Source organism: Homo sapiens, chromosome 15, assembly GCF_000001405.40.
Source record: "Homo sapiens chromosome 15, GRCh38.p14 Primary Assembly".
NCBI classification, from domain to species: domain Eukaryota; kingdom Metazoa; phylum Chordata; class Mammalia; order Primates; family Hominidae; genus Homo; species Homo sapiens.
Window position 1 is genome coordinate 69,766,024 of NC_000015.10, and position 20,143 is coordinate 69,786,166.

At 40.0% G+C, this 20,143-nt stretch overlaps 1 long non-coding RNA gene across 1 annotated transcript in view; it reads left to right on the forward strand.

Annotated features, from left to right (window-relative positions):
• LOC107984788 (uncharacterized) overlaps positions 1–20,143 on the forward strand; it is a 34,565-nt gene that overhangs the window by 14,075 nt on the left and 347 nt on the right. The window lies entirely within an intron of this gene.

Consider the following 20,143-nt stretch of genomic DNA (forward strand, 5'->3'; position numbering starts at 1 on the left):
TGCAAAACTGAAACTCTGTATCCATTAAACATTACCTCCCCGCAGCACCTGAAAACCACCATTCTACTTTCTGTCTCTATGATTTTGACTACCCTAAGTACGTCCTATAAGTGAAATGATGTAGTATTGGTATTTTAGTGAGTGGCTTATTTCACTTAGCATTATTTCCTTGAGGTTCATCCATTTGTTGCATGTATCAGACTTTCCTTGTTTAAAGGCTGAATATTATTTCATTGTATGTATACACCACATTCTCTTTACCCATTCATCTGTTGATGGACACCTGGATTGCTTCCACCTCTTGGCTACTGTGAGTAATGCTGCTATAAACTTGTGTGTACAGATATTTCTTCAAGATCTGGCTTTCAATTCTTTTGAGTCTATACCCAGAGGGGAATTGTTGGATCATGTGGCATTTCTATTTTTAATTTTTGAAGAGGCACCATATTATTTTACACAGAGGCTGTACCATTTTGCATTCCCACCAACAGTGCACAACTGTTCCAATTTCTCCACATCCTCACCAACACTTGTTATTTTCTGTTGTGTGTTTTGTTTTTATAATAGCACTCCTAATGGGTGCGAGGTGATATCTCATTGTGGTTTTGACTTGTATTTCTGTAATGGCTAGTGATGTCGAACTAATGGCTTATTGGCTATTCATATGTCTTCTTTGGAGAAATGTCTTGTTGAGTCCTTTGCCCATTTTTGAATCAGGTTCTTTGTTTTTGTTGCTGAGTTTTAGGAATTCTCTATGTATTCTAGATATTAATCCCTTATCAGATATGTGATTTGCTTAGAGTTTCTCTCATTCCAGGGGTTGCCTTTTTACTCTGTTGATAGTGTCCTTTGATGCCCAAAAGGTTTTAATTTTTATGACGCCCAAATTAACTATTTTTTCTTTTGTAGCTTGTGCCTTTGGTGTCATATCCAAGAAAGCATTGCCAAATCTAATGTCACAAAACTTTTGCCCCATGTTTTCTTCTAAGAGCTTTATAGTTTTTGATCTGTGATATATTTTGAGTTAATTTTGTATCTAATTGGGTAAGGGGCTAACTTTTGTATATAATATGGGTAAGGGGCTAACTTTATTGTCCTGCATGTGGGTATTCAGTTTTCCCAGCACCCTTTGCTGGGAAAGGGTGAATGAAAGAACTCACATTGAATGGCTTTGGAACCCTTGTTGAAAATCATTTGTGAGGATTTATCCCCAGGTTCTCTATTCTAATTCATTGGTCGGTGTGTTTGTGTTTATGCCAGTAACACACTGTTTTGATTACTGTAGCTTTGTAGTAAGTTTAGAAATCAGGAAGTGTGGGTCCTTCAACTTTGTTTTTTTGAAATATTGTTTTTATGCCAGTAACACACTGTTTTGATTGCTGCAGTTTTGTAGTAAATTGTGAAATCAGGAAAGGCGAGTTCTTCAACTTCGTTCTTCTTTTCCAAGATTGTTTTGGCTTTTCAGATTCCATATGAATGTTGAGGTAGATCTTTCTATTTCTGCAAAAAATGTTGGGATTTTAATAATGTATTAGTTCGTTTAGGCTACTGTAACAAAATATAGACTGGGTAGCTTATAAACCACAGAGATTTATTTCCCACAGTTCTGGAGGCTGGGAAGTCCAAGATCATATTCAGTGTCTGATGAGGGCTCACTTTTTGGTTCATAGGTGGCACCTTCTCCCTGTGTTCTCACATGATGGATGGGACAAAGCAGCTGTCTGGAGCCTGCTTTTTAAGGGTACTACTGCCAGTCATGAGGGCTCAGCCTAATCATGACCTAATCACCTTCAAAGTTTCCACCTCCTAATATTATCACATTGGTGATTAGGTTTCAATGTATGAAGTTTGGTGAGACACAAACATTCAGACCATAGTAGATAGGTATTGCATTGAATCTGTAGATCAGTTTGGAGTATTGATGTCTTAACAATACTGTCTTACAATCTTACAATGATATGTCATACATATCACAAATATGATATGTCTTTCCATTTATTTATGTCATCTTTAATTTCCTTCAGCAATGTTTTATAGTTTTCTTTGTACAAGTCTTTCACCTGCTTGGTTAATTCCTAAGTATTTTATTCTTTTTGATGCTATTGTAAATGGAATTGTTTTCTTAATTTCCTTTTCAGATTGTTCATTGTTATTATATAGAAATGCACCTGATTTGTGTGTGTTGACTGTATCCTGCTACTTTGCTAAATTAATTTATTTGTTTTGAAAAGGGTTTTTGGGTGCAATATTTAGGGTTTTCTATATATAAGATCTGCAAACAGATCATTTTACTTCTTTTCCAATTTGGATGCCTTTTATTCCTTTTTCTTGCCTAATACTCTGGCTAGGACTTCCAACACTATGTTAAATAGAAGTGGTGTGAGTGGGCATACTTACCTTGTTCCTTATCCTAGAGGAAAAGCTTTCACCATTGAGTATGTTTGCTATGGATTTTTCATATAGGGCTTTGATTATTTTGAGGTAGTTTACCTCTGTTTCTAGTTTTCAGAGTGTTTTATCATAAAAGGGTGTTGAATTTTGTCAAATGCTTTCTCTGCATCAATTGAGATAATCACGTGTTTTTCCTTGTCATTCTGTTAATGTGGTGTTTTACAGCAATTGATATCTATATGTGGACCATCCTTGCATTACAAGAATGAATCCCACTTGGTCATAATATAAAATCCATATTAGCTACCAAATTTAGTTTGCTAGTATTTTGTTGATGAGTTTTTAAATCAATGCTCATAAGAAATATTGGTCTTATGAACATTTACTTAAAATATATAGTTTTCTTTTCTTGCAGTAACTTTGGCTTTTGTATCAGGGTAATGCTGACCTCATAGGCAGAGAGGAACTGTCCCTTCCTCTTCCATTTTTCAAAAAACTTTGAGAATAATTGGTGTTATGTCTTCTTTCAATGTTTGGCAGAAATCACTAGTGAAGCCATCAAGTCCAAGGATTTTTTTTTTGTTGAATTCTATTATAATTTTTATTACTGGCTCAATCTCCTTAATAGTTATAAGTCTATTGAGATTTTCTATTTCTTTGTGCTCCAATATTGGTAGGTTTTGTATTTGTAAGAATTTGTCAATTTCACCTAGGTTATCTGATTTGTTTGTGTATAATTGTTCATAAAAATCTCTTATAATCTCCTTTAATTCTGTAGAATCAGTAGTAATGTTCCCACTTATGTTTCTGATTTTAATAACTGAATCCCTTTCTCTCTTTTTTTAGTCAATTTAACTAAAGATTTATCAATTTTGTTGATATTATAAAGAACCAACTTTTGGTTTTGTTTATTTTCTCTATTGTTTTTCTACTTTATTTACCTCTGTTCTGATTTCTATTTTCTTCCTTCTGCTAGTTTTGGGTTTAGTTTGTTCTTTTTCTAGTTTCTTAAGTTAAATGGGGGAGGGGCATCCACCATTGCTGAGGCTTGAGTAGGTAAACAAAGTGGCTGGGAAGCTCTAACTGGGTGGAGCCCACCACAGCTCAATGAGGCCCGCCTGCCTCTGTAGACTCCACCTCTGGGGGCAGGGCGTAGCTGAACAAAAGGCAGCGGAAACTTCTGCAGACTTAAGCTGTCCCTGTCTGACAGCTCTGAAGAGAGCAGTGGTTCTCCCAGCACGGTGTTTGAGCTCTAAGAACGGACAGACTGCCTCCTCAAGTGGGTCACTGACCCCCACGTAGCCTAACTGGGAGACACCTCCCAGTAGGGGCCAACTGACACCTCATAGAGCCAGGTGCCCCTATGAGATGAAGCTTCCAGAGGAAGGATTGGGCAGCAATATTTACTGTTCTGCAATATCTGCTGTTCTGCAGCCTCTGCTGGTGATACCCAGGCAAACAGGGTCTGGAGTGGACCTCCAGCAAACTCCAACAGACCTGCAGCTGAGGGACCTGACTGTTAGAACGAAAACTAACAAACAGAAAGGAATAGCATCAACATCAACAAAAAGGACATCTACACCAAAACCCCATCTGTAGGTCACCATCAGAGGCCAAAGGTAGATAAAACCACAACAATGGGGAGAAACCAGAGCAGAAAAGCTGAAAATTCTAAAATGCAGAGCACCTCTTCTCCTCTAAAGGATTGCAGCTCCTCGCCAGCAACAGTACAAAGCTGGATGGAGAATGATTTTGAGGAGTTGACAGAAGTACGTATCAGAAGGTCAGTAATAACAAACTTCTCCGAGCTAAAGGAGGATGTTCAAACCCATCGCAAGGAAACTAAAAACCTTGAAAAAAGATTAGATGAATGGCTAACTAGAATAAACAGTGTAGAGAAGACCATAAAGGAGCTGATGGAGCTGAAAACCATGGCACAAGAACTACGTGACGCATGCACAAGCTTCAGTAGCTGATTCAATCAAGTGGAAGAAAGGGTATCAGTGATTGAAGATCAAATTAATGAAATGAAGTGAGAAGAGAAGTTTAGAGAAAAAAGAGTAAAAAGAAATGAACAAAGCCTCCAAGAATATGGGACTATGTGAAAATACCAAATCTACATTTGATTGGTGTATCTGAAAGTGATGGGGAGAAGGGAACCAAACTGGAAAACACTCTTCAGGATATTATCCAGGAGAACTTCCCCAACCTAGCAAGGCAGGCCAACATTCAAATTCAGGAAATACAGAGAACACCACAAAGATACTCCTTGAGAAGAGCAACCCCAAGATACATAATTGTCAGGTTTACCAAGGTTGAAATGAAGGAAAAAATGTTAAGGGCAGCCAAAGAGAAAGGTTGGGTTAACCGCAAAGGGAAGCCCATCAGACTAACAGTGGAGCTCTTGGCAGAAACTCTACAAGCCAGAAAAGAGTGAGGGCCAATATTCAACATTCTTAAAGAAGAGAATTTTCAACCCAGAATTTCATATCCAGCCAAACTAAGCTTTGTAAGTGAAGGAGAAATAAAATCCTTTACAGACAAGCAAATGCTGAGAGATTTTGTCACCACCAAGCCTCCCTTACAAGAGCTCCTGAAGGAAGCACTAAACATGGAAAGGAACAACCAGTACCAGCCACTGCAAAAACATGCCAAATTGTAAAGACTGTCGATGTAGGAAGAAACTGCATCAACTAATGGGTAAAATAACCAGCTAACATCATAATGACAGGATCAAATTCACACATAACAATATTAACCTTAAATGTAAGTGGACTAAATGCCCCAATTAAAAGACACAGACTGGCAAATGAGATAAAGAGTCAAGACCCATCAGTGTGCTGTATTCAGGAGACCCATCTCATGTGCAGAAACACACATAGGCTCAAAATTAAGAGATGGAGGAAGATCTGCTACGCAAATGGAAAGCAAAATAAATAAATAAATAAATAAAAATAAAAATAAAAAAATAAAAAAAGCAGGGGTTGCAATCCTGGTCTCTGATAAAACAGACTTTAAACCAGCAAAGATCAAAAGAGACAAAGACGGCCACTACATAATGGTAAAGGGATCAATTCAACAAGAAGAGCTAACTATCCTAAATATATATGCACCCAATACAGGAGCACCCAGATTCATAAAGCAAGCCCTTAGAGACCTACAATGAGACTTAGACTCCCACACAATAATAATGGGAGATTTTAACACCCCACTGTCAATATTAGACAGATCAATGAGACAGAAGGTTAACAAGGGTATCCAGGACTTGAACTCAGCTCTGCACCAAGCAGACCTAATAGACATCTGTAGAACTCTCCACCCCAAATCAACAGAATATACACTCTTCTCAGCACCACATCACACTTATTCCAAAATTGACCACATAGTTGGAAGTAAAGCACTCCTCAGCAAACGTAAAAGAACCGAAATCACAACAAACTGTCTCTCAGACCACAGTGCAATCAAAGTAGAACTCACGATTAAGAAACTCACGCAAAACCGCACAACTACATGGAAACTGAACAACCTGCTCCTGAATGACTACTGGGTAAAACGAAATGAAGGCAGAAATAAAGATCTTCTTTGAAACCAATGAGAGCAAAGACACAACATACCAGAATCTCTGGGACACATTTAAAGCAGTGTGTAGAGGCAAATTTATAGCACTAAATGCCCACAAGAGAAAGCAGGAAAGATCTAAAATTGATACCCTAACATCACAATGAAAAGAACTAGAGAATCAAGAGCAAACAAATTCAAAACCTAGCAGAAGGCAAGAAGTAACTAAGATCAGAACAGAACTGTAGGAGATAGAGACACAAAAAACCCTTAAAAAAATCAATGAATCTAGGAGCTGGTTTTTTGAAAAGATCAACAAAATAGATAATCTGCTAGCAAGACTAATAAAGAAGAAAAGAGGGAAGAATAAAATAGACGCAATAAAAATTGATAAAGGGAATATCACCACCAATCCCACAGAAATACAAACTACCATCAGAGAATACTATAAACACCTCTATCCAAATAAACCAGAAAACCTAGAAGAAATGGATAAATTCCTAGACACATACACCCTCCCAAGACTAAACCGGGAAGACGTTGAATCCTTGAGTGGACCAATAACAGGCTCTGAAATTAAGGCAATGATTAATAGCCTACCACCCAAAAAAAGTCCAGGACCAGACAGAGTCACAGCTGAATTCTATCCAAGGTACAAAGAGGAGCTGGTTCCCTTCCTTCTGAAACTATTCCAGTCAATAGAAAAAGAGGGAATCCTCCCTAACTCATTTAATGAGGCCAGCATCATCCTGATACCAAAGCCTGGCAGAGACACAACAAAAAAAGAGAATTTTAGACCAATATCCCTGATGAACATTTGATGCGAAAATCCTCAATAAAATACTGGCAAACTGAATCCACCATCACATCAAAAAGCTTATCCACCACGATCAAGTTGGCTTCATCCCTGGGATGCAAGGCTGGTTCAACATACGCACATCAATAAACGTAATCCATCACATAAACAGAACCAAAAACAAAAACCACGTGATTATCTCAATAGATGCAGAAAAGGCCTTTGACAAAATTCAACAGCCTTTCATGCTAAAAACTCTCAATAAATTAGGCATTGATGGAATGTATCTCAAAATAATCAGAGCTATTTATGACAAACCCACAGCCAGTATCATACTGAATGGGCAAAAACTGGAAGCATTCCCTTTGAAAACTGGCACAAGACAGGGATGCCCTCTCTCACCACTCCTATTCAACATAGTGTTGGAAGTTCTGGCCAGGTCAATCAGGCAAGAGAAAGAAATAAAGGGTATTCAATTAGGAAAAGAGGAAGTCAAATTGTCCCTGTTTGCAGATGACATGATTGTATATCTAGAAAACCCCATTGTCTCAACCCAAAATCTCCTTAAGCTGATAAGCAACTTCAGCAAAGTCTCAGGATACAAAATCAATGTGTAAAAATCACAAGCATTCCTATACACCAATAACAGACAAACAGAGAGCCAAATCATGAGTGAACTCCCATTCACAATTGCTTCAAAGACAATAAAATACCTAGGAATCCAACTTACAAGGGATGTGAGGGACCTCTTCAAGGAGAACTACAAACCACTGCTCAACGAAATAAAAGAGGACACAAACAAATGGAAGAACATTCCATGCTCATGGATAGGAAGAATCAATATGGTTAAAATGGCCATACCGCCCAAGGTAATTTATAGATTCAGTGTCATCCCCATCACGCTACCAATGACTTTTTCCATAGAATTGGAAAAAACTACTTTAAAGTTCATATGGAACCAAAAAAGAGCATACATAGCCAAGACAATCCTAAGCAAAAAGACCAAAGCTGGAGGCATCACGCTACCTGACTTCAAGCTATACTACAAGGCTACAGTAACCAAAACAGCATGGTACTGGTATGAAAACAGAGATACAGACCAATGGAACAGAACAGAGCCCTCAGAAATAACACCACACATCTACAAGCATCTGATCTTTGACAAACCTGACTAAAACAAGAAATGGATTCCCTATTTAATAAATGGTGCTGGGAAAACTGGCTAGCCATATGTAGAAAGCCGAAAGTGGATCCCTTCCTTACACCTTACACAAAAATTAATTCAAGATGGATTAAAGACTTAAATGTTAGACCTAAAACCATAAAAACCCTAGAAGAAAACCTAGGCAATACCATTCAGGACATAGGCATGGGCAAGGACTTCATGACTAAAACACCAAAAACAATGGCAACAAAAGCCAAAATAGACAAATGGGATCTAATTAAACTAAAGAGCTTCCACACAGCAAAAGAAACTGCCATCAGCATGAACAGGCAACCTACAGAATGGGAGAAAATTTTTGCAATCTACCCATCTGACAAAGGGCTAATATCCAGAATCTACAAAGAACTTAAACAAATTTACAAGAAAAAATCAAACAACCCCATCAACAAGTGGGCAAAGGATATGAACAGACGCTTTTCAAAAGAAGACATTTATGTGGCCAACAGACACATGAAAAAATGCTCATCATCACTTGTCATCAGAGAAATGCAAATCAAAACCACAATGAGATACCATCTCACACCAGTTAGAATGGCGATCATTAAAAAGTCAGGAAACAACAGGTACTGGAGAGGATGAGGAGAAATAGGAACATTTTTACACTGTTGGTGGGAGTGTAAACTTGTTCAACCATTGTGGAAGACAGTGTGACGATTCCTCAAGGATCTAGGACTAGAAATACCATTTGACCCAGCCATCCTATTACTGGGTATATACCCAAAGGGTTATAAATCATGCTACTATAAAGACACATGCACACATATGTTTATTATTGCAGCACTATTCACAATAGCAAGGACTTGGAACCAACCCAAATGTCCATCAATGATAGACTGGATTAAGAAAATGTGGCACATATACACCATGGAATACTATGCAGCCATAAAAAAGGATGAGTTCATGGATGAAGCTGGAAACCATCATTCTGAGCAAACTATCACAAGGACAGAAAACCAAACACTGCATGTTCATAGGTGGGAACTGAACAATGAGAACACTTGGACACAGGGCAGGGAACATCACACACCGGGGCCTGTCGTGGGGTGGAGGGATGGGGAAGGGATAGCATTAGGAGAAATACCTAATGTAAATGACAAGTTAATAGGTGCAGCAAACCAACATGGCACATGTATACATACATAACAAACCTGCACGTTGTGCACATGTACCCTATAATTTGAAGTATGATAAAAATAAAAAAATAAAAATAAAGAACCAACTTTTGGTTTTGTTTATTTTCCTATTATTTTTCTATTTTATTTATCTCTCTTCTGATTTCTATTTTCTTCCTTCTGCTAGTTTTGAATTTAGTATGTTCCTTTTCTAGTTTCTTAAGTTGTAAAGTTAAGTTGTTAATTTGAGATCTTTTGTGTTTTTAATATAAGCCGTTATAGCCATACATTTCCCCCTTAGCATTACCTTTGCTTCTCATAACTTTTGGTATGTTGTGTTTTTGTTTTCATTTGTCTTTAAATATTTTCCAGTTTCCATCGTGATTTCATTTGTGATCTATTGGTTGTTTAAGAGTGTGTCGTTTAATTTTCACAAATTTGTGAATTTCCCACTTTTCCTTTTGTTATTGATTTCTAACTTCATATCATTGTGGTTAGAGAAGATACTTTATATCTTTTAAAATCTATTGACAGTTTGTGGCCTAATATGTGATCTATCCTGAAAAATATCCCATGTGCACTCGAGAGAAATATGCATTTTGTTATTGTTTGGGTAGAGTGTTCTAAGTATGTCTGGTAGATTTTGGTTTATGTTTTGTTCAAGTCCTCTGTTTTTTTTATTTGTCTTCTGCCTCATTCTACTCATTATTGAGAGCGGGGTATTGAAGTCTCCAACAATTATTGTCGAACTGTCTATTTTCCCTTTAATTCTGTTAATTTTTGCTTCATATATTTTGATGGCCTGATATAATGATATAACATTATGTGCATAATTGTTATATCTTCTTGCTGTATTGAATCTTTTTTTTTTTGAGGCGGAGTCTCGCTTTGTCGCCCAGGCTGGAGTGCAGTGGCACTATCTCGGCTCACTGCAAGCTCTGCCTCCTGGGTTCACGCCATTCTCCTGCCTAAGCCTCCTGAGTAGCTGGGACTACAGGCATCCGCCACCATGCCCGGCTAATTTTTTGCATTTTTAATAGAGATGGGGTTTCACCGTGTTAGCCAGGATGGTCTCGATCTCCTCACCTCATGATCCGCCAGCCTTGGCCTCCCAAAGTGCTGGGATTACAGGCATAAGCCACCGCACCCGGCCCCACTGTATTGAATCTTTTTATTAATATGTGTCTGTCTCTGATAAACTTTTTTGAATTCAAGTCTATTTTGTCTAATATTAGTATAACCTCCTCTGTTCTCTTTTGATTTCTGTTTGAGTTACTTTTCTTTTTCTATCCTTTTGCTTTCAATCTATTTGTGTCTGGATCTAAAATCAGTCTCTTATAGACAGCATATTCTTGGAGAATATTTTCTATTCTGCCAATATCTGTATTTTCATTAGTGAGTTTAGTCTATTTACATTTAAAGTAATTATTGATAAGGAGGGGCTTACTTTGGTCATTCTACTATTTTCTAATGCCTTGTTGTGTTTTTTCAGCCCTTATTTTTTGTGTTACTATCTTCTTTTGTGTTTAGATGATTTTTGATGTGAAATGTTTTAATTCACTTTTCTTCTTTGGGGCGTACATTCTATACCTCATTTTTGTGGTTACCACAGGGATTATACTTAACATCCTAAAGTTATAACATTTTAACTTGAATTTATTGGACCTTAACTTCCATAAAACACAAAACATTGTTTCTGTACAGCTCTGTCCCCACCCTTTTCAGTTATTGATATCATGTAGTTATAATTTTATACATTGCATATCCTGAAACATAATCTAGTAATTATTTTTTAATGCACAATTTCTTAAATTATATAAAAAACAAGATGCAGTATTATAAACCAAAATTACAGTTTTTGGCTTTTAGACTAACACTTAAAAAAAATTTTATTGGTCTCTTAAATCATGTAGAAAACAAAAAGTGGAGATACAGACTGTTGTTACAATAATACTAGCTTTTCTAATTGCCAGGGTATTTACCTTTACTGAGATCTTTATTTCTTTATATAGCTGTCGGTTATTGTCTACTGTCTAGTGTCTTTTCATTTAAAGCTGCAGGACATTTTTGGCTTTTTAGCATTTCTTGCAGAGCAGGTTTAGTAGTAACAGATTTCCTCAGCTTTTGTTTAATTTGGAATGTTTTAATGTTTCCCTTACTTTCGAAGGACAGTTTTGCTAGATACAGGATTATTGGTTGACAATCTTTTTTCTTCTAGAACTTTGAATATAAGTCCACTTTCCTCTGGCCTCCAAAGTCTCTGATGAGAAATCCAGTGTTTATCTTGAGGATCTCTTGTATGTGACGAGTTGCTACTCTCTGGTTGCATTCAAAACTTTTTCTTTGTCTTCATCTTTTGTCAGTTTGATTATGATGCATCTCGGTGTGGGTCTCTGAGTTCATCCTACTTGGAGTTTGTTAAGCTTCTTGGATGTTTATATTCATGACTTTCATCAAACTTGGGATGTTTTTGGACATTATTTCTTCATATAATCTATCTTCCCTTTTCTCTCTTCCTCTGGACTGCATCAGTGTGTATGCTGATCTGCTTGATGGTGTCTCACAGGAACCTTAGACTATGTTCACTTTTCTTCAATTTTTTTTCCCTTCTATTTCAGTTGTGCTATGTCCAAGTTTACTAATTATTTCTTCTGCCACTCAAATATCTCTTTGAATCACCTAGTAAATTTTTTATTTCAGTTATTGCACTTTTCAGTTCTAGAATTTCTTTTTGGTGTCTTTATAAATTTTTCTTTCTCTTTATTAATATTTCCATTTTGTTCATACACTATTTTCTCCACTTTCTGCATATCTTCCTTTAGTTATTTGGACATCTTTAAGAAAGTTTTAAAATAAGTTTCTATTTAGTAGGTCTGCTATCTGGTCTGGCCTTTCTCAGTGACAGTTTCTGTTAATTTACTTTTCCCTTTAAATTGGCTACACTTTCTTATTTCTCTGTATGCTTTGTGATTTTGTCATTGTTGAAAATTGGACATTTTAATTCAATAATGTAATAACTGTAGAAATCAAATTTTCCCCCTTTCCCAGTTTTTTCTGGTTTTCTGTTTTTTATTTTTTCATTGTTGTAGGCTATCTCCGTGCTGAGGATTGGCCTGGGGTGTAAACTTAAAGTCTTCTTATTTTCTGAGCTACAACTTTCTCTGTGTATGTGCAGTTACTTTCCACTTTCCCCCTTTAATGCAGTTGCTTTAGATGTCCTAGTCTTTACTATCTGGCTCCCAAAAAGGAGGAAGATAATTAAAAGGGGAGAAATGCACCAGCCCTTTAATTACTCTGGAAATTGCTTCAGCCTGGGTTGGAGGGGCTTGCAGCAACAAGGGGAGGTGCAACAATAATGGCTGCATGCCTCTGTGTCTGCACCTCCATGATCAGAAGCATCAGTCAATGATCAGAGCACAGATCCCCATATTTGGAAGACAAGGTCCTTTTTGCTCATGCTGGTTTCAATAAGCTATGATCAAGCAGCTTCAGGGACATGTGCACAACTGACTGCCATTGGGATTAGGATGGGGACTGGGTAGTTGCTTCGGAGGTAAGACCTGAAATTGACCAAAATTAACTGCAATTTACCATCTAAGCCTTCCCCTGGAAGTTGCAAGGCTTCAATAGACTCCAGAGTTTCAAAAGAGTTGTATCAGACAAATTCTGGCAGTTCAATTGTTATCTAGATGAGGAAAAAGATTCCTGGTTCTTCCTACTCTGTCACTTTTCCAGAATTCTATATATATATATATATCTAAAAACAGGATTATATACACTGTTTTTAACTTCTTTCAATCTAATCAAGTCAACAGTTGTTCATGTCTACAATTCTTTATGACTGAGTGATTTTTCATTGTATGACCACACAGTGATTTATTGAACTAGTTCCCTATTATTGGACATTTTAGCTTATTTCTAGTTTTTCACCACTATATACCACACACAGAGTTATACATATCTTTGCTCACTTGTCTGATTATTTCACTAGGAAAGAGGAAGTTAAGATTTTGAGGTGTAATTGGAATATTTAGGGGACAGAAAGTACATTAGGGAGGTAGAACTTTCTAGATATCAAGAACAGCTTGAGCAAAGACCTACAGGGGTACAAGTGCATCTCACATTCAGAAACTGTGCAACTGCAAAAATATCCATGCTTTGCTTTCTTTCAAAGTGTCTCCTGACCACTCCAGCCCTCAGTGAAATATCCATACTCTCAGATGTCCTGGGCCATGCTGTTCAGGGCTCTTCCTCATTGGCCAACGGACTTCCCCACAATCCTAGGCTACACCCTATGCAACTGGCAACACACAGACCAATTCTTCTAGGAACCGAGGTGGCCATAAAAGGCTGGGACATATTTTAAGGACATTCACTTTATGTCTTAAAATAGTGCCCAGTCAAAAGGAAAAATTCCATGTGTGTCTAATTCACTTGTGCAAGAAAACAAAATGGCGGGAGGGTGTCCCCACCCCCCTCCCCCGCCCTGCAACTGCATGTCTTTCTTTTTAACTTAAGAAGGGCTATTTGATGTCCCAGAAACACTTTGAGGCTTTTTATTGCCCTTGTAAACTTAACAATAAGAGTCTAAGAGGTAGAAGTTGTTGGCAGTTCTGGGTGAAAAACCCAAGAACAAAGAAAAAAAATTCTGGTTAGATGGAGGCTGAGAATCTCAGAATTTTGGAAGTGCTTCAGGCCGGGGTTCCAGTTTCAGGTTTTCTGGGAGGGGACACGTGGCAAAGTAGAGGTCTCTGTGCTGTGACATAGAGAGTGCCATACCAACATGTGTTTCCCCATGATGCTAGAAACTCCCCATTGTAACCGTAGGTGAAGATCAATAAAAGGTCTCCTATCCCTTCCCCCTGCTGGTACATGGAACTGTGCTAGGACACACAGGAAACTACACCAGTGGTTCTCAGCCAGGAGTGATTTTGCCCCGTAGGAGACATTTGGCAAAGTCTAGAGGCATTTTTGGTTGTCACAACTGGAGGAGGTGGTGCTCATGGCATCTAAGTGGGTCGAGGCCAGGGATGCCGCTAGGCATCCTACAGTGCACAGGACAATCTCCAACAAAGAAATATCCAGCCCCAAATGTCAGCAGTGCCGAGGTTGAGAATTTGGAATATCTCCAAGAGCATACGTTTTACTCCATGGTAAATAATTTAAAACAGCATTTGAAATTAAAATAAGTACATCTATTAAGGTGCAGTGAGGCAGAATAGGAATTTTTCTTCCCTTTCAAACCCTACTATCTCTCCACCAGCAACCCTTCACCCCCCTGCCCCACCATACCCTCTTTCCCCGCAAACTCATATTCCTTCTTTCTGGAGGTTAAGACTCATTAAAACCTCATTCTGAGTCTAGCAGAGCTGACATCAGGAAGGAGGCCATTTGTAATATGTCTCATGGCAGGCCTAAGGGCTCGCTGGAGGTGAGCCAGGAGGCTCTTCCTAGAAAGGCCGAGAAACAGAATGGCTGAGCCAGGTTGAAGGCCAGGAAGAGGGGAGCACTGCCTGTTTGAGTGTGTGGGGGCGATGTGGTCCAAGAGAGGTGAAGGAGTGAACAGGGAGGGTATCTTTGATGAGCTGGCAGCAGGTGGGCTCGAGGGGAGAATCAGGGAAGCCCAAGGTCCCTGTGGGAGCAGCTGAATGGGCCGACCACAGAGCTGATGTGCTCCTGATCTTCCAGCCCTCGTATCACAGTCCATACTCGAGGGGAATGCTGCAGGCCGGCAGTGAGAGACTTGAGCCCAATTAAAGGACAATGTGCTCTGCCCATCATTTGAGAGTCCATGTGTTATTGTCCTGTTAATAGAAGACTTTTTTCAAAAGAACAGGGAATAACCATCTTACCCTTCTGATGTTAAGAGTATAATAAGCGGTTATCATGGAATACCAAGTTACTATGAATTTTAAAGAAAAAAAAAACCCACAAGCGATTTTAAATAAATGTCAAGCTGTGGATTTGGCCCCAAGCCCCCGGGGAGCAGGAAGTGACTCTTCTATGTCCTCAGGGGAAGTTGTGGAGGTCGGAGGTGCCTGGGTAAGTCACAGGGTTTGGGTCAGATGTTGGCTCTCCCGAGGTGGGGAGTGGCAGCAGGGCAGGAGACGATGGGCTGTTAGTAGCCAGTCTCTTCCTGGGCTGGATCTGGTAAAATGAATTAGTCAAGTGGTTACCATTTCCCTGGAGGAAATCAGAGCCAGGACCAAAAGGGTCTTTTTTCATAAAAATGTAAATAAGCAAGGAGGTGTGGCCCTCCCATCCTCTCTGTTACATGCACTGAGACGTGGGACAGCCTTTCCCGGAGACCACCTCCTTCTTCCCAGGCTCAGCGCAGCTTCTTCCCAGGCTCTCCCATAGAGGAATTTCTCCCACAGAGCACTGTCCCCAAAACTGTGTGCTTCCAAGTGGCTGTGTCAAGCTCTGCTTCTTTCAGGGAATCTGACCTCATACAGGCCCTGAAGGGGCAGGTTTGGGACCATGCAGGTGTCTCAGGGGCACTGAGTGTGTGAGGGGATGGAGCTGACAGGAGAAGAAGAAAACTGACTGGGGGTTGCAGGGAAGAGGAGAGAGCCCCTGCATCTTCATGGTCCTAACTCTTTTAGGGCTTGGGGAGCTGGAACATCACACCGGCTGCTCATATGGAACCCCAAAAGGATGGGCTTGAGTTCTGATCCTGCCCCGGTGACTCACAAATAATCCACACTTTCTCTCTAGACCCCAGCTTTCACATTTTACAAACCAGGACACATAACTGCTGCAGGACTGGGATTATTTGGGAGAGTTATCCTGACAGGGCCAGTTCCCCCATACCGACCTCAGGGACAGCTTCAAGGTAGACTCTGTGGGCTCCCAGCCATTTTGCCTGGGACAGTGGTCTCCCTGCATTGGAGAGCCAGGGGTGAGTCTGGTAAAATGAATGGAGAGGCTGTGTGTCAGGGAAGAGCAAGCCCTGTGGGTTACTGATATGGTATATAAGGAACGGAAGTGAGGGGGAAGACAAGGAAATCTAACTCGGTAGATGAAAGTGAGAGTGGTAATACAGAGGTTCTGGTTAAAAAAAATACAGATCTGCACTGCTGGAATGCTAAGAATTATTCCATAAGTAACCTGGGAAAGCTGTGGACATGAGAGGGAGATGGGAACACAGAGAATCAGCCAGGCCAAGTGGGATGAAAGGGGCAACTCAGAGAGTAACCCTTCCTACCGTTCCCCAGCTGGTTACTTTGATGCCTGGGGACTTTGATGCCTTAAGTTGGTCTGCCTTGCCAGGCTCCACTCTCTGCTCTCAACCTCTCCTTGCTATTCTATTGAACTCTCCTAGTTAAATACACTCTTATGCTGCACCCCCTGCTCAAGAGCCATCAGTGGCTCCCTATGACTCTTCTCATCACTTTCAAATACTTCTCTGTGGCTTTCTAGCCCAATTGTTAATTCAACAAGTATGTATCCATTTTTAATTACATATTGAAATTGAAAATCTATTACACCAAGCTGAACATGATTAAATAATGGTGCAAAAGTATGAACAATGCATAGTGAATCTAACTCAGACCCTCAAATCCTCCATCTGCAGGGACATCAGAAATATGCTTTACATATCAAATGATATGTGTAAATATTTTTCTTACAAAAATAGGGCATTATATACTTTGCTCTTCCCCTTGATTTTATCACTTATAAATATATCTTTGAGATTACTCCTTGTTAGTACAGTGTTCCATTGTATGAGTGCACCATGGTTTATTTAATCAGACCCCAGCTAAATACTTGGCTTTAAGTCTTTTGTCAAGATAAGCAATACCACTACAGACACCCTTGTACATGCCCCTTTTGCACGTGGGCAATGCACAGTTATATCTGGAGGACAAACTAGAAGCAGAGCGGCTGGATCAAAGGGCACCTGTGTTCTATCACCTGACTGATAGAACAAATCCCCCTGCAGGGCGGGGCAGAACCTCCTCCCTCTACTCTAGTCACCCCGTGTCCTCATCAAACGTTGTGATCTTTGCCAGCCTACTGAATGAAAAATAGCTCTTGTTTTATTTTGCATTTCTTTGATTTTGATGGAGGCTGGGTATTTTTTCATCTGTTTCAAAGTCACCTGTATTCCTTTTTCTGTGAACGGACTGCTTTCAAGCCCTTCGGCCATTTCTCTATGAAGTATGGAACAAATATTTATTGATATCCAGTTACATGCCAGATAAGTCAGAGATGATCCCTGCCCACCCTCCATAATTGGACTTCATTCTCCCTTATTAACCGTTAGCCGTTACCTGCCCTCCCCAAAGCGTGACTCTAATCAGGTCCCTTGGGAGTTTCACAGACTCGCTTGGCCATCTGGAGTCAACAAGGCAAAGGCATTCGTGTGTGTGTGTGAACACGAGAGATGAGAATATCTCCCTTTTGTATTATCATCCTTCAATATCTACTATAACTAATTACGAAAGTAATGCATCTTCTTGGTAGAATGTATAGATGCTATAGAACAGTATAAATGAGAAAAATTTTTAAATCCCATGTGATTCCAGTCACACTGCAATAAACATCTCTGAGCCACTTCCTTCAATGTTGTTCTCTGCATATTTGTGTCCTTTTATAAAACTGGCATCATACTATACATACAGTTTGGTTTTTAAAATCTTTTTTGACTTAATACTATGTCATTGTAAATTCTAAAATTATTCAAAAGCCTCTTTTTATTTTTCTATTCTTATATTTTTAAAATTTTTAAAATTTCCATAGGTTATTTGGGGAACAGATGGTGTTTAGTTATGTGAGTAGACATGAGTAGGTTCCTTTTTTTGTTTGTTTGTTTTTTTGAGATGGAGTCTCACTTTGTCACCCAGGCTGGAGTGCAGTGGCGCGATCTCGACTCACTGCAACCTCTGCCTCCCGGGTTCAAGTGATTCTCCTGCCCCAGCCTTCCGAGTAGCTGGGACTACAGGCGTCCGCCAGCACGCCCGGCTAATTTTTTGTATTTTTAGTAGAGATGGGGTTTCATCGTGTTAGCCAGGATGGTCTCAATCTCCTGACCTCGTGATCTGCCCGCTTCAGCCTCTCAAAGTGCTGGGATTACAGGTGTGAGCCACCTCGCCCGGCATGCCCGGCTAATCTTTTGTATTTTTTTCAGTAGAGATGGGGTTTCACCGTATTAACCAGGATGGTCTCGACTCCTGACCTCGTGATCCACCTGCCTCGGCCTCCCAAAGCGCTGGGATTACAGGCGTGAGCCACCATGCCTGGCCACATGAGTAGGTTATTAGTGGTGATTTGTGAAATTTTGGTGCAGCCATCACCCCAGCAGTATATACTGCACCCTATTTGTAGTCTTTCATCCCTCACCCTCTTCCTACTCTTTCCCCCTGAGTTCCCAAAGTCCATCATGTCATTCTTATGCCTTTGCTTCCTCATAGCTTAGCTCCCACTTATAAGTGAGAACATACGATGCAAAAACCTCATTTTTATTGGCCAACAAATTCTTTCACAGGTATGTTCCAAAATTTATTTAATCAACCCCTTTGTTCCTGTATCTTGTTTATTCTCTCCCTTCCCTCTCTCATTCCTCCTTTCCTTCCACTTCCTACACAAATACATGCTTATATCTCCATTTCCTTCATGTGGATTTCTAGGAAGGTATTTAACAGATCAAAGGGTGTAACATTTTTATGGCTGTTGATTTGTTGGCTTGGCTAGTTCAAAACATATTCCACCTCCTCTTAGGATGTCTAGATATTAGACAGCTAACAACTGAGACCTCCCTCCAGCATGGATTCTAGATATGATTTAGGCTCCGCTAATGAGATGAACTTTTGCAAGTGTGAGTCAAAGCTAGTGATTCAGGGGAATGGCAGGGGGGTGGGGCCCCCATTTTGCTAGCACAGATCAGAACTGAGGGGCATGGCTCTGGAGCCAAGAGTTATGGTGATCATTCGTATTCTGGAACTTTGTGATCAAGGCAGAGGCAGCAGTTCTGTTGGCAGCCAGGCCGGCATTGTGTTTTTGGAACTCATTCCTGGAAGCCCAGCCTAGGATGCATTACTTCTACCTCCCAATGAGTCTGCAAGCTATCTAGTCTCCTAATAAATCTCTTTCTGCTAAAAGTAGCTGAGTGTATTCTGTTGTGTACAACTAAGATCACTGAAGTCCCTGTTTGTCAAAATGTCCTCCAGGAAGGTTGGACCAATGTAGAGTTCCACTAAGTGTGAGAAGATGAGAAGCTGAGAGCATTTCAGGGGAAGCTGATACTCTCTTCCAGGGATGGGTAGTGTATTAGTCAGTGTTCTCCAGAGGGACAGAACTCATAGGATGTGTGTGTGTGTGTGTGTGTGTGTGTGTGTGTATGTATACACACACAGATATATATATACACACACGCTCACACACATATATAAACATGGGAGTTTCTTAAGTATTAACTTTCACGATCACAGGGTCCCACAATAGGCTGTCTGCAAGCTTGAAGAGCAAGGAGAGCCAGTGCCAGTCTCAAAACTAAAGAACTTGGAGTCCAATGTTCGAGGGCAGGAAGCACCCAGCATGGGAGAAAGATGTAGGCTGGGAGGCTAGGCCAGTCTCATCTCTCTCATGTTTTTCTGCCTGCTTTATATTCGCTGGAAGTTGATTAGATCATGCCCACCAAATTTAGGGGGGATCTGCCTTCCCCACCACTGACTCAAATGTTAATCTCTTTTGGCAATACCCACACAGACACACCCAGGATTCATACTTTCTATCCGTCAATCCAGTCAAGTTGACACTCAGTATTAACCATCATAGGCAGTCAGGGGTTTTCTTAAAAAAGTGACATTAGAACTGTGATCCTGGCCTAGGTGGTCAGTGTGGGTGCTTGGTTTTTGAGCACTTACCGTGTGCCAAACCCTTTACATACATCAATCTTATCACCCTTGCTACCACTCTATGAGAGATGCAATATTATCCTCATTTCACAGAAGCCAAAACTGGGCTCAGAGAGGTCATTTGACTTGCTCAAGGGCACAGAGCTAATTCACAGAGAAGCTGGGACACCAATTCAAGTTAGATGGATCCCAAAGTCGACGC